We start from the raw sequence: 16,074 nt of genomic DNA on the forward strand, positions 1-16,074 counted from the left end.
ACGGCATTTCCTTAAAAAAGTAAAAACAGAATTACCACATGATCTGGTAATCCCACTTCTGGATATATATCCAAAAGAATTGAAGTCAAGGACCTGAACAGATATTTGTACAGCCGTATTCATAGTGATATTATTGCAATAGCCAAAAGACAGAAGCAACCCAAATGCCCATCAACCAATGAATGAATAAACAAAATGTGGTATGTACATACACTGGAATGTCATTCAGGCTTAAAAAGGAAGACAGGGCCAGGTGTGGTGGCTCACACCTGTAATCCCAGCACTTTGGGAGGCTGAGGTGGGTGGATCACGAGGTCAGGAGAACGAGACCATCCTGGCTAACACGTTGAAACCCTGTCTCAACTAAAAATACAAAAAATTAGCCGGGCATGGTGGCACACACCTGTAGGACCAGCTACTTGGGAGGCTGAGGCAGGAGAATCACTTGAACCTGGGAGACAGAGGTTGCAGTGAGCTGAGATCATGCCACTACACTCCAGCCTGGGCAACAGAGTGAGACTCCATCTCAAAAAAAAAAAAAAAAAAAAAGGAAGGCAGTTCTGACACATGCTACAACATGGAAGAACATGAGGATATTATCTAAGTGAAATAAGCTGGTCACAAAAAGAAAAATACCATACGAGGTACCTAGAGTAGTCAAATTCATAAAGACAGAAAGTAGAACGGTGGTTGTCAGAGGCTGAGGGTGACGAATACCATCACCCTCAGTTATTATTTAATGGGTACAGAGTTTCAGCTTTGTAAAATGAAGAGCACTCCATGGATGGATCCGTAGCACAGCGATGTGAGTATACATAATGCCACCGTACTATACACTTAAAAATTGGTAAAATGGTAAATTCTATGCTTTGTGCATTTCACTACAATTTTTTAAATGTTTAATGAAATAGGTGATGAATGAACAACATATTTCTCAAAAAGAATATAATATAGGTATATCTTCATCCAGCTGTCATTCACCATCAAGGATTTCATCACACAGTATCTCACAAGAAAAACCTAGACGATCCTGTTTTTATTAAAAGGTGGCATGGCAATATTCTTTCCTCTTTTATGATACCTAGGTACCAAAATTTACTTGATGCAATTGGTAAATGGAGATATGCTGAAGTCAGCTGGTGTGTACAAAGGTGAATGCAGGGGAAGAGATAATGCAGAAATGAAAAATATTCACCCAATTTATCATGTTAATTGGTGTTTATAAATCTAAAAATATAAGTGTCTTGTAATTATGGAGCAAAGAAAATGGCTTCCTCTCTTCAACAAAATTATGAGCCATCAATTTTTTCAAAAGTATGATGTTTTGACAATGTAAGTGCAAACAAAATTAAAATAACCAGAAGTAATAAGTAGAACCCTATTAGAAATGTATCTGGAATCTGGACTTAATTTTTATAAGAGGGATATGTTCCAGCTTCATGCATGGCAGCTGTTGAACATTTAGTTGCATTCAAGGGACATTGCTCATTTGGGGTATGCACACCATCAAGAGCACAAAAATATAAAATCATTTGTTGTTTAGATTCATATAAATGTGTGAATAACAGCTTGGGATATAATTCATATACCATACAATTAAGTCAAAGTGTACAATTCAGTGGTTTATGATATATTCGGAGTTGAGCTATGTTTGAATTCTTGTTAAAACTTGTAAAACTGTTTTTTACTAAAATAAAACTACATACAAGATAAAACCATCAACTAACTTTTTTAAGAGAAGCAGAACTAGTAAAATTGAGTCATACAAAATTTAAAAGGAACAAGAAAAAATAAAATATGCAAATTTAAATTTCAGCGTGGTCATTGCAATTAAGTTTAAATATGTCACTGGTAAATTAAGATGAAAAGGAAACTGCAATCTGTTTTATTGTAGTCCTGGTTTGTTTTATGTTAAAAGAAAGACATACCTTGAAAAATGCTTTACTTTCTAGGTGACAGGGAGCCACTGAAGAGTTTTTGAGCAGCAAAGCATCAGGAGTTTGTGGTAGACAGAATAATGTCCCCCCTCCCTCAAGATGTTCACGTCCTAATTCCCAGAATCTTATGAATGTGTTGTCTTACCTGGTATCTTAGTCCATTCAGGCTGCTGTAACAATATATCATAATTTGAGTGGCTTATAAACAACAAACATTTATTTCTTACAGTTCTGGAGGCTGGGAAGTCCAAGATCAACGTGTCTGCAGAGGCCCTGATTCCTGGTCCTGGAACAAAGCCCTCTCTCTGTCCTCATATGGTGGAAGAGACTAGCTCTGCAGTCCCTTTCATAAGGGTACTCATCCCACTGATGAGGCCCCTGCCCTCATGACCGAATCACCTCCCAAAGACCCCACCTCTTAATACCACCACCTTGGGGGTTAGGATTTCAACACATGAATTTTGAGGGATCCACAAACATTCAGACCATAGCACCTGGTAAAAGAGGCTTTGCAGTTGTGATTAAATCAAGGAGCCAAAAATGGGGAAGCTATCCCTGGTTAGCCACGTGGTCCCAATTTAATCCCATAGCTCCTTATAGGAAGAGGCAGGAGGATCAGTCAGGAAGAAGGCAATGTGACAAAGGAAGCAGAAGGAGAAAAGGCAAAGTGATGAGAGGCCACGTGCTAAGGAATGAAGATAGCCTCTAGAACCTGAAAGGGGCAAAGAGATCGTGTCTCCAACCCCTGGGCCATGGACCAGTGCCTGTCTGTGGCTTGTTAGGAACCAGGCTGCACAGCAGGAAGTAAGTGGCCAGTGAGTTAGCAAAGCTTCATCTGTATTTACAGCCGCTCCCCATCACTCACATTACAGCCTGAGCTCCGCCTCCTGTCAGATGAGCAGCAGCATTAGATTCTCACAGAAGTGTGAATCCTATTGTGAACCGCACATGTGGGGGATCTAGGTTGCCGCTCCTTATGAGAATCTAATGCCTAATGATTTGTTACTGTCTCCCATTGCCCCCAAATGGGACTAATTGCAGGAAGATAAGCTCAAGACTCTTACTGATTCTGCATTATGGTGAGTTGTATAATTATTTCATTATATATTACAACATAATAACAGAAATAAAGTGCACAATAAATGTAATGCACTTGAATTATCCCAAAACCATCCTTCCATTCCCCAGTCCATGAAAAAAATGTCTTTCACAAAACTACTCTCTGGTGCCAAAAATGTTGGGAACCACTGCCCTAGAGCATCCAGAAGGAACCAGCCCTGCCAATAATCCAGCACTATGAGATGATAAATTTGTGTTGTTTTGAGCAACTCAGTTTGTGATCATCTGTTACAACAGCAGTAGGAAATTAATACAGAATAACGGTGCTGACCCTGAACCCCAGTGAGCACAACAACAATCTGAGTATAAAACACATTTTCTTACAGGGATTCTATCCCAGTCACTTACAGAATCAAACTTGTCGAAACAGATAGAACCATGGAGTGGACGTTACCCAGCCCCTCAATTTTGCTTATGAAGGAAACTGAGCCACAGAGTGGCCAAGCAACTGCCCCAACTTAGAGAGTGTGAGTTCTCTGCCTTCCTATCCACACTCAACTCCCCAACTGGTCTGCTCCACACTTGCTTCTCAGCTCGCCAGGGACTGGCACCAGAATGGGGAGGCCACTCTTGAAGAATTTCATTAAGGCACGTTTGAAAGCTTGTCAAAACTTAGGAGAAAAGAAAGTCAAGTTCTTCTACGTGTGCATATTCCACAAATTTAATAAGAACCGAAGCACTTGAAGAACTGAGCTGGAATCTTTATTAACAAGACAGGGAACTGAAAATGAGGCTAAGGAAAAGGCAAAGCTATGAGATCAAAATGATGGGACATCAGCTTTGTCACCAAAGCTGTGGGCAAGAGGCAGGAATTTGAGAAGAGAGAAGATGCCACCCCTTTGACTGCTCCAAAGCTAGTTAGGCTTTCAAGTGTTGAATGGCCAAGAGATGCCTGGATGAAAAAGCCCATCATTAACTTGCATGACTCCCTCCAGACTCCAGAATTTCACAGCCAGACTTCTTCTGGATTTAAATCCCAAGAAAGTGTACCCACCATGCCAGGGCTATTTGTTTTATTTTTATAGAGATAAAAGATTTAATAAATATTGCTTTTCTGATGGTCATAGACATGTAGGTTTCCAAGTGAAACTCTCATCCACGTCCCCCTGGGCCAAAATATCGGAAGGGATTATTGTTTTGCTGATGCATTCCTGTTTTATTCTGTCTTTGTCTAACTGGCCATCATAGCTTTGAACTAGCTCTAGAATCCCTGTGAATTTTGCTACAGCCTTTGGGGGAAATATATAGGTCCAGGTTAAGAACCACCCAAATCTCTTTTCCACCAGATGGCTCTTCAGTGGCTAACATAAAAAGCTGGGATTAAGTAGCTTCTCAGTTCTTAAAGCATTTCCACACACAGCACAAATTGCAGTGGTGCTTTTGCTTTTCTTACTACAAATATCTGTTGACACAACATGAATGTCACCCAGAAAGGCATTTTTACCTACTACACATCTATCGTGGCAATTCATTTAGGTCTTATCACCATAATCTGGCTCAAGGGTTAGTGAACCTTTTCTTAAAAGACCGAACAGTAAATATTTTAGGCTTTAGAGGCCAAACTGCAAAATCAAGGCTGTTATATTGGTACAATCATTTTAAAAATGACCACTTAAAAATGTCAAGATTATTCTCAGCTCATGTGCCCTACAAAAAGATACAGTGGGCCAGATTTGATCAAAGTTTACCAACCTCTGATCAAGATAATTAAGAAAGCCTATTTATAGGTGGAAAAAAATCCATTAATTTGAATTTTGAACTTGTCCCCTAATCATTCAAATAATTTACACAAAATTCGATGTATTTTTTTTTCCAGAATCCAGCAATCTACAGTGTGGTACAAGATGCAAGCCAGCCACTCGTATCTTCAGATTTTTCTTCCAAGTAAATGCAGCAAAGCAATATTAATACACATCTATGTTCACAAAGTTTTTCAAAATAACAAAATGGAGGTTACATTAAATTTTTACTCTGTTACAAAATAATAATGGTGGTATTAAGCAATAGGAAAAACTATTCCAATTGATATCACCAGTTAGCTAACTTTCATATGCAGTTTTGCCATCTCTAATTGACATTTTATAAATGGTATCTTTTTCTAAGTGTTCCATTTTGATTCATACCAATCTGTTGGCATTACACACAAACTGGAAGAAAATATGGAGCATTCTAATTCAAGTATCCTAATTTACATGCTAAATCAGAAGGTCAAAATCAATCTGTCATCTTTAGAACCTTGATCATAGGCCCAGAAATAAAAGGTAGCATGTTGATTTCTTTAGGGGAAGGGGGGTTGGCAGGAAGGATAATTGTTAAAAAAAAAAAAAGTACCAAGTTTCAACATGAGTTTAGAACACCAAAATTTAGTGCACTAGAAGATAAATACTATAAGAAGTGCTTTGGTATGGTGAGTATGGCTTTGTTGAAGTTGAAAATTGTTCTTCATTCTCTGATAGTAGTTGAGCGGCAGATGGCCTGAAGTTATCATAAATATGTAAGCCCTAGAAGTACTCTGCTTTGAAGAGCAGCCAAAACACAATAGTGCTGAACAACACAGAGCACACAGAGAACTGTCTGACACATATAGAGAAATGAGAATCTTTCCACCGCACAGTAACATTTCTAAGCATAGAACATCCGAGAAATCACCTTAGCTTCTCCATGTAGAATTAATGCATATAGCAACCCTGTTTTTTAAAGGTTACGTGGTTAGGAAGTTGGCCTTTCAATTAAATTACCACATTTTCACAATATAGAACTTGAAGTGGAGCTTTGATTGCTTTCTTCTTTGGCAATTTGCTGTCAAAATCCAAGCTTACAGGGATGCTGAGCTGTACAATCCAAGAGAGAACTCTCAGAAGACGGTTTGTTCTAGCTTTTTTTCCCTTGTTCCCTTCTTCCTAATTCAGTACCTGAAATGCCATCCAAAATGATCTCTACTGAAAATGTCCTTCGTTGCCAAATTACAAACGTAGCTCATTTTCTATCCACTACAGCCAGTTATTATTTTGTAGTTACCAGGCTTCAGTAAATAAATACATGTGAGAGCCATCTATCTATTTGTTAATGCTTATTATGTTCTGTGCTAGATAATGAGAAATAAATAGATGAATAATTTAAAGAGAACAATTCCTCTTTCTTTGTGTTTCTACAGAATGGGTTTGAAACTGCTGCCTGGTTCCACTTGCTCCTTCAAATGGGAAGAGGGAGATTTGATTTGATTGGTGAAATGACAAGAGTCCGACATCCACTGGTCCTTAATTCTGTCCTGGGCAAGGCTGATTTATTCCCAGTTGCTGTGTTTATGTGGCCTTGCTTTGTTCAAGGGACATGATGAAAGCCATGATCAGACATGATCGTTCATAGGGGCCTGTTTTGCCATGTGTAAGTCCCAAGGAGAAAACTCAAGGCAGGGAGGGAAGTACTAAGAAGTCCATCTAGGCTCAAGGGTTGATTCTCGTTCTCTAACCCAGTTTAACCAGTGGTGAAACTGAAGTTTTGATTCCTCTCTGACCCTGTGTTTGTTTTTCAATAGCTTCAGTAAGTGGGAAAAAAAAAAAACAGGGATGTGACTCATTGTCTTCCTAAAGCCCTACCAAATAAGATTTCTGCCCTCAAGAGGCTCAGGGCCTTTAAGGGTCTCTACATCTCTGATTCTTTTTTTTTTTTTTTTTTTTTTTGTGAGACAGAGTCTTGCTCTGTCACCTAGGCTGGAGGGCAGTGGTGTGATCTCGGCTCACGGCAACCTCCACCTCCCAGGTTCAAGTGATTCTCTTGCCTGGGATTACAGGCATGTGCCACCACACCTGGCTAATTTTTGTATTTTTAGTAGAGATGGGGTTTCTCCATGTTGGCTAGGCTGGTCTCGAACTCCTGACCTCAGGTGATCCACCTGCCTCAGCCTCCCAAAGTGCTAGGATTATAGGTGTGAGCCATCATGCCCAGTCTATTTTTCAAACTTTATATAATTAAACCATAGTAAGAAACAAGGTGTAACCCACTGCTCCACGAAACATCATGAATTCAATTCAACCCCTTAAGGAAAACATAAAAGTAAATCACCAATCCACACTTTTAAAGCATCTCTGAATAAATCATTATATAAAAGGTATCAGTTACACATAAAACAACATAAACCACTGCTCAATGAAATAAAAGAGGATACAAACAAATGGAAGAACATTCCATGCTCATGGGCAGGAAAAATCAACATCGTGAAAATGGTCATACTGCCCAAGGTAATTTATAGATTCAATGCCATCCCCATCAAGCTACCAATGACTTTCTTCACAGAATTGGAAAAAACTACTTTAAAGTTCATATAGAACCAAAAAAGAGCCCACACTGCCAAGTCAATCCTAAGCCAAAAGAACAAAGCTGGAGGCAGCATCACGCTACCTGACTTCAAACTATACTACAAGGCTATAGTAACCAAAACAGCATGGTACTGGTACCAAAACAGAGATATAGATCAATGGAAGAGAACAGAGGCCTCAGAAATAATGCCTCCTATCTACAACTATCTGATCTTTGACAAACCTGAGAAAAACAAGCAATGGGGAAAGGATTCCCTATTTAATAAATGGTGCTGGGAAACCTGGCTAGCCATGTGTAGAAAGCTGAAACTGGATCCCTTCCTTACACCTTATACAAAAATTAATTCAAGATGGATTAAAGACTTACATGTTAGACCTAAAACCATAAAAACCCTGGAAGAAAACCTAGGCAATACCATTCAGGACATAGGCATGGGCAAGGACTTCATGTCTAAACCACCAAAAGCAATGGCAACAAAAGCCAAAATTGACAAATAGGATCTAATTAAACTAAAGAGCTTCTGCACAGCAAAAGAAACTACTATCAGGGTGAACAGGCAACCTACAAAATGGGAGAAAATTTTCACAACCTACTCATCTGACAAAGGGCTAATATCCAGAATCTACAATGAACTCAAACAAATTTACAGGAAAAAAACAAACAACCCCATCAAAAAGTGGGCAAAGGATATGAACAGACACTTCTCAAAAGAAGACATTTACACAGCCAAAATACACATGAAAAAATGCTCATCATCACTGGCCATCAGAGAAATGCAAATCAAAACCACAATGAGATACCATCTCACACCAGTTAGAATGGCGATCATTAAAAAGTCAGGAAACAACAGATGCTGGAGAGGATGTGGAGAAATAGGAACACTTTTACACTGTTGGTGGGACTGCAAACTAGTTCAACCATTGTGGAAGTCACTGTGGTGATTCCTCAAGGATCTAGAACTAGAAATACCATTTGACCCAGCCATCCCATTACTGGGTATATACCCAAAGGACTATAAAATCATGCTGCTATAAAGACACATGCACACGTATGTTTATTGCGGCACTATTCACAATAGCAAAGACTTGGAACCAACCCAAATGTCCAACAACGATAGACTGGATTAAGAAAATGTGGCACATATACACCATGGAACACTATGCAGCCATAAAAAATGGTGAGTTCCTGTCCTTTATAGGGACATGGATGAAACTGGAAACCATCATTCTCAGCAAACTATCACAAGGACAAAAAACCAAACACCGCGTGTTCTCACTCATAGGTGGGAATTGAACAATGAGAACACATGGACACAGGAAGGGGAACATCACACTCTGGGGACTGTTGTGGGGTGGGGGGAGGAGAGGGGGATAGTATTAGGAGATATACCTAATGCTAAATGACGAGTTAATGGGTGCAGCATACCAACATGGCACATGTATACATACGTAACAAACCTGCACATTGTGCACATGTACCCTAAAACTTAAAGTATAATAATAACAAAATTTTTTTTAAAAAGTACAAAACCAGAGAAGAAAAAAATTAAAATAAAAAAATAAATTATCAGAAAATAACTCAAAAACAACAATTTGAGTACAAAAGGTGGGTCTTGAATTTGTGTGACTTTAAGTACCTGACAACATTGTGAACACTGTAAAAAGCAATATGCCAAGGACTTGGGCAGTATTTCATTTTATAGTTTATGCCTCAGTAGTCAGGAAACAGAAAAAAAAATAATACTTTCCCCGAAGTCTGTGACATGGCATTTTCTTGTTAAGTAAGGAGAAAAAATAGTTTTCCTCAAATTTACTAGTAGATAGAAGAAGAGACAGTCTTTTAGCAGTTTCCACACATTCTAATTGCCTGCTTTAAAAACTGTCAAAAGCAACAAACAAGAAAAATGTTTTAATTCAAATGACATTTCTGAGGAAGTACAAGTAAGCCCAAGCCATTTAGTTTATCATTCTATGTTACATATTTATGTCATATATTATATACTCTATTAAGCCTTTTGTAATAAAAGTTTTTACCCTAACTCTTTTACATACAAGAGTTGGCCAAGAGTATATAAGATAGCAATGATACACAAATATCACCAACATTCATTCAATAGTTGTTTACTGTAATGGACTAAATCTTTACATCCCCCACAATTCATATGTTGAAACCCTAGCCCCTGCAATATGATGGTGGTAGAAGGTAGGACTTCTGGGAGGTAATTAGAATTAGATGAGGTCATGAGGATAGAGTCCTCATGAATGCAATCAGTGCCCTTATAGGAGTCATGATTGAACTTGCTTTCCCTTCTCTACTCTCTACCATGAGAAAAAAACAAGAAGTCTGCAGTCTGCCACCTAAAATCTGACCATGCTAGAACCTAATCTTGGCTTCCAGGCTCCAGAACTGTGAGAAATGAATTTCTGTCAAGCCACTCGGTATATGGTATTCTGTTACAGCATCCTGAAAGGCCTAAGGCATTTACTGAGTGCTAACATGTACCAGAAACTAGTCTAGGAGCTGGAAATAGGAGAATGAACCAAATGAAGTCCTGCCAATGCACTTCTACTTTGCTGATGAACATGAATAACTAAGCATATCAGACATGTCCAGCATGAAGCATGCTAACTCCTTTTCTCTGCAATCCTGCCCCTTGTTTGCCTCAGCTGATCGGTCTAGGGCAGCTAATCCACAGGCTGGCTAGTGACTTGAATCATGTGCCTGAAATTTCAAAAACAAAATCAAAACAAAACCTCACCATGTTGGGTTTATCCTCTTCCAGTGCTTAGAATTTGAACAAAGATTATCAAAAGACAAAGGCAATTAGCAATAGAAGCTGAAGCTGATAGTTCATGTCTGTCTATCTCTAGGGAGGACAGTGAGGCCTTGTTAAGGCATAGGCAAGCTGATATTACCACGCAGCGGAAGCAATGATGAAGAACAATAATTCCCAAATCCAAGCCAGACTGGCCACAAGTAGACATTTTTGAAACATGGGGCATTGTAGCTTGTCACAAGAATTGGGTAGACAATGACATTTGATATCTTACAATGCTCCTGGAGTCCTGCAAAATGAAGAATCATCCCAAAATCTTCACTACTCTTAATGATCTGCAGGGCATTCACATAGGCAAAAACACACTTGTAATTATAAGAGCTTAGATCCTGACTTGACTTTGCACCTGAATACAAAGTATGTTTATATAGTGTTAGAAATCACTGTCTATTAAAGTTAGGAGTGCCATTATGTCAATCCAGAGAGTTGTTTTGTTCAGAGCTTTATCAAGAGACACTCACCATTTCATGTAGCTGCATCACCTACATAAGATTGCTTTGTATTAAGTTCACCAACCTAACACACCTTTGCTGAGCTGCATTTGAAGCTGTGTCATTCACAAAGATTTGACATATAATTGCAAGTATCTGGTAACAACAATATGTCCTCTGGTGTTGTCATGCCAGAGCATCTACATATTGAGCTACAGATTATTGTATGTGTCTTCTTTTGTGTCTCCCTTATAATACAGTAGAGCATTATATTGGAAGGGTGTTTAACATATGTATATAGATTATATTATGTGTAAAATTTAGCACAGAACAGTAAAGGAAGTGCTACAAAATGTTTATTAGAAAAAAATGGGGTGGGGTTTGATGAAGTTGAAAATCACTAAGATAGAAAAGAAAAGAAAGGGGTTAAGTTACTAGTCAGAGTAGAGAGGAAGGAACACACAGGAAAGCAGAGTCTCACAAGACAGAATTGTTCACATACATGAGCAAGCCCCTAAAAATGACCCTTCCACTGGCAGTTTCCAGCTGGTCCTGGGCCCTCAACCGTCCCACCTGAGTCCAGCAATTGAAAGCATCCTTTGTCTCCTGTCTCATGACCTCTCTAATCCATCCTTCTATCATAACAGTTGTCCTAGAATGAAGCAGTACTAATGTCTTCATCTTATGCAAAAGCTTTCCAAATTTCCAAATTATCTTCAAGTGTTGACTATCTAGACCCAACCTACCTTAAAAAAATAATCTACTGCCTTCTTAAACCCTCTGAATGAGCCACCATAGCCTACTTTTTTTCCTAATATGTTATGAGCAGTCCCAAATTCTATCTTCATACCTTTGACTTCTCTGATTTCCCCATGACAAATTCCATTCTTATCTCTAATACTCTAAACTCTAGACTTTCCTTTATGGTTCAGTTCAATTTCCACAAACACACACCCTTAGTGAGCATTTCTTCCTCTAAAAACCTAGAGATAACAATTAAGTGTGGCACAGCAGTCAGAATAGGTTAAGTTACACTGCAATAACAAAAAAGCCCAAAATATCAATGGCTCACAACAAGGGTTTACTTCTGACTTAATGTCAAATGTCTACTGAAAATGAGCCATGTTTCTGGCTCCATGTCATCCTCATTCTAGTACACAAATCAAGGGAGTAGGCTTTACCTGGAACATTGCTGCTTATCATGATAGTAGGAAAAGAACATAGAAACCCCCACTAACTTTACACTTTTGTCCAGGAGGTACACATGTCACTTCCACTCAGATTTCATTTGTTAAAGCAACTCACATGATCAAACATGTCAATGAGGCAGAGAAGGGAGGAGCAACAAATATTTTCAAATAAAATTAAAATCTGTAATAATCAAATCAACTTCATAGTTAACAATTGCTTTCAAGGAATGCCCTTTTACCCTAGAACACAGTGCAAGTTTCATGGTTAGCAACAATCCATTTACAGGTATTCTACTCAAATATGATGATAGAAGTGAGCTTACACATTTTAAAGTACAGATCAAAACAATGAAAGCACAGAATCAATCAAAATAAATGTTTCATTGAAGCCACCAGTTTTTAAATTTGGTTTACCAGTGCAATGAAATTCCAGTATAACAAAATAACTTGAACATTAAAGTTCACTATAACAGTATGGGAATAGTTACTTGTCTAGAAATATAATTGGTTGCCAATATGATTTGTTTGTGATTTTTTTTAGTTTTGAAATATGCAAATTTTAAATAGTGAAATCTAAAATATTATTAATGTCTCCACTATGTTGATTTTTTTTTTTTTTTTTTTTGCCGTGCAGAAGTTCTCTAGTTTGATGTAATCTCCTTTTTCTATTTTTTCTTTTGTTGCCAGTGCTCTGGGATCACAGCCAAAAAAAATTATTGCCCAGATCAGTGTCATAAAGCTTTTCCCCGTTTTTTCTTCTAGCAGTTTTATGGTTTCATAGTCTTATCTTTAACTGCATTTTGAGTTGATTTTTGTACATGGTGTGAGACGAGAATCTAATTTCATCCTTCTGCATGTGGATACCCAGTTCTCCCAGCACCATTTATTGAGAGATTGCCCTTTCCCCACTGTGTGTTGGCATTGTGTTTTGGCACCTTTGTCAAAAATCATTGGTCCGTAAATGTGTGGATTTATTTCTGGGCACTTTATTCTGTCCCCTTGGTCTATGTATCTGTTTTTACGCCAGTACCAGGTTGTTTAATTACTTGCTTGTAGCAGATTTTCAAATCGGGTAACAGATTTTCTAATCATGATGCCTCTGGCTTTGTTCTTTTTGTTCAAGATTGCTTTGACTATTCAGGGTCTTTTGTGGTTCCACATGAATTTTAGAATTCTTTTTTCCTACCTCTATAAAAAATGTGATTGGAATTTGATAAGGAATGCATGGAATCTGTACATTGCTTTGGGTAATGTGGACATTTCAACAATAGTAATTCTGGAGCTGTTCCTATTCGGCCATCTTGGCTCCAGTCTACAGCTCCCAGCATGAGAGACGCAGAAGATGGGTGATTTCTGCATTTCCAACTGAGGTAATGGGTTCATCTCACTGGGGAGTGTCGGACAGTGGGTGCAAGACAGTGGATGCAGCGCACCAAGCATGAGCCGAAGCAGGGCAAGACATCACCTCACCTGGGAAGCACAAGGCATCAGGGAATTCCCTTTCCTAGTCAAAGAAAGGGGTGACAGACGGCATCTGGAAAATCGGGTCACTCCCACCCTAATACTGCACTTTTCCAACGGTCTTAGCAAACAGCAGACCAGAAGATTATATCCTGCGCCTGGCTCTGAGGGTCCTATGCCCACAGAGCCTCACTCATTGCTAGCACAGCAGTCTGAGATCAAACTGCAAGGTGGCAGTGAGGCTGGGGGAGGGGCGCCCACCATTGCCGAGGCTTGAGTAGGTAAACAAAGCAGCCAGGAAGCTCGAACTGGGTGGAGCCCACCGCAGCTCAAGGAGGACTGTCTGCCTCTGCAGACTCCACCTCTGGGGGCAGGGCATAGCCAAACAAAAGGCAGCAGAAAACTCTGCAGACTTAAATGTCCCTGTCTCACAGCTTTGAAGAGAGTAGTGGTTCTCCCAGCACACAGCTGGATATCTGAGAACGGACAGACTGCAACCTCAAGTGGGTCCCTAATCCCCGAGTAGCCTAACTGGGAGGCAACCCCCAGTAGGGGCAGTCTGACACCTCACACGGCCAGGTACTCCTCTGAGACAAAACTTCCAGAGGAACAATCAGGCTGCAACATTTGCTGTTCACCAATATCCACTGTTCTGCAGCCTCCGCTGCTGATACCCAGGCAAACAGGGTCTGGAGTGGACCTCCAGCAAACTCCAACAGACCTGCAGCTGAGGGTCCTGACTGTTAGAAGGAAAACTAACAAACAGAAAGGACATCCACACCAAAACCCCATCTGTCGGTCACCATCATCAAAGACCAAAGGGTAGATAATACCACAAAGATGGGGAAAAAACAGAGCAGAAAAACTGGAAACTCTAAAAATCAGAGTACCTCTCCTCCTCCAAAGGAACGCAGCTCCTCACCAGCAACGGAACAAAGCTGGACAGAGAATGACTTCGACAAGCTGAGACAAGAAGGCTTCAGATGATCAAACTACTCTGAGCTAAAGGAGTAAGTTCGAACCCATGGCAAAGAAGTTGAAAACCTTGAAAACAAAATTAGAAGAATGGATAACTAGAATAACCAATGCAGAGAAGTCCTTAAAGGACCTGATGGAGCTGAAAACCATGGCACGAGAACTACATGATGAATGCACAAGCCTTAGTAGCCAATTCAATCAACTGGAAGAAAGGGTATCAGTGATGGAAGATCAAAAGAATGAAATGAAGCGAGAAGAGAAGTTTAGAGAAAAAAGAATAAAAAGAAATGAACAAAGCCTCCAAGAAATATGGGACTATGTGAAAAGACCAAATCTATGTCTGATTGGTGTATCTGAAAGTGACGGGGAGAATGGAACCAAGTTGGAAAACATTCTGCAGGATATTACGCAGGAGAACTTTCCCAATCTACCAAGGCAGGCCAACATTCAAATTCAGGAAATACAGAGAACACCACAAAGATACTCCTTGAGAAGAGCAACTCCAAGACACACAATTGTCAGATTCACCAAAGTTGAAATGAAGGAAAAAATGTTAAGGGCAGCCAGAGAGAAAGGTCGGGTTACCCACAAAGGGAAGCCCATCAGACTAACAGCGGATCTCTCAGCAGAAACTCTACAAGCCAGAAGAGAGTGGGGGCCAATATTCAACATTCTTAAAGAAAAGAATTTTCAACCCAGAATTTCATATCCAGCCAAACTAAGCTTCATAAGTGAAGAAGAAATGAAATCCTTTACAGATAAGCAAATGCTGAGAGATTCTGTCACCACCAGGCCTGTGCTAAAAGAGCTCCTGAAAGAAGCACTAAACATGGAAAGGGACAACAGGTACCAGCTACTGCAAAAACATGCCAACTTGTAAAGACCATTGAGGCAAGGAAGAAACTGCATCAACTAACGAGCAAAATAACCAGCTAACATCAAAATGACAGGATCAAATTCACACATAACAATATTAACCTTAAATGTAAGTGGGCTAAATGCTCCAATTAAAAGACACAGACTGGCAAATTGGATCAAGAGTCAAGACCCATCAGTGTGCTGTATTCAGGAAATCCATCTCACACACAGAGACACATATAGGCTCAAAATAAAAGGATGGAGGAAGATCTACCAAGCAAATGGAAAACAAAAGAAGGCAGGGGTTGCAATCCTAGTCTCTGATAAAACAGACTTTAAACCAACAAAAATAAGAAGAGACAAAGAAGGCCATTACATAATGGTAAAGGGATCAATTTAACAAGAAGAGCTAACTATCCTAAATATATATGCACCCAATACAGGAGCACCCAGATTCATAAAGCAAGTCCTTAGAGACCTAGAAAGAGATTTAGACTGCCACACAATAATAATGGGAGACTTTAACACCCGGCTGTCAACATTAGACAGATCAACAAGACCGAAAGTTAAGAAGGATACCCAGGAATTGAACTCAGCTCTGCACCAAGCAGACCTAATAGACGTCTACAGAACTCTCCACCCCAAATCAACAGAATATACATTCTTTTCAGCACCACACCACACCTATTCCAAAATTGACCACATACTTGGAAGTAAAGTACTCCTCAGCAAATGTAAAAGAACAGAAATTATAACAAACTGTCTCTCAGACCACAGTGCAATCAAACTAGAACTCAGGATTAAGAAACTCACTCAAAACCGCTCAACTACATGGAAACTGAACAACCTGCTCCTGAGTGACTACTGGGTACATAACGAAATGAAGGCAGAAATAAAGATGTTCTTTGAAACCGACGAGAACAAAGACACAACATACCAGAATCTCT

General features: G+C 39.5%; 1 protein-coding gene across 4 annotated transcripts in view, besides 1 other annotated feature; it reads right to left on the reverse strand.

The window, feature by feature from the left end:
- The window catches only part of TAFA4 (TAFA chemokine like family member 4), a 200,782-nt gene that overhangs the window by 65,319 nt on the left and 119,389 nt on the right, over window positions 1–16,074 (reverse strand). The window lies entirely within an intron of this gene.
- Window positions 13,526–14,025: an enhancer, noted in NCBI's record as "H3K4me1 hESC enhancer chr3:68859761-68860260 (GRCh37/hg19 assembly coordinates)". NCBI's record gives its function as "activates a minimal SCP1, AML or CMV promoter by ChIP-STARR-seq in primed H9 embryonic stem cells {active_cell/tissue: H9 hESC(primed)}" and the evidence as "EXISTENCE:reporter gene assay evidence [ECO:0000049][PMID:30033119]".

This window comes from Homo sapiens, chromosome 3 (genome assembly GCF_000001405.40).
Source record: "Homo sapiens chromosome 3, GRCh38.p14 Primary Assembly".
Lineage (NCBI taxonomy): Eukaryota > Metazoa > Chordata > Mammalia > Primates > Hominidae > Homo > Homo sapiens.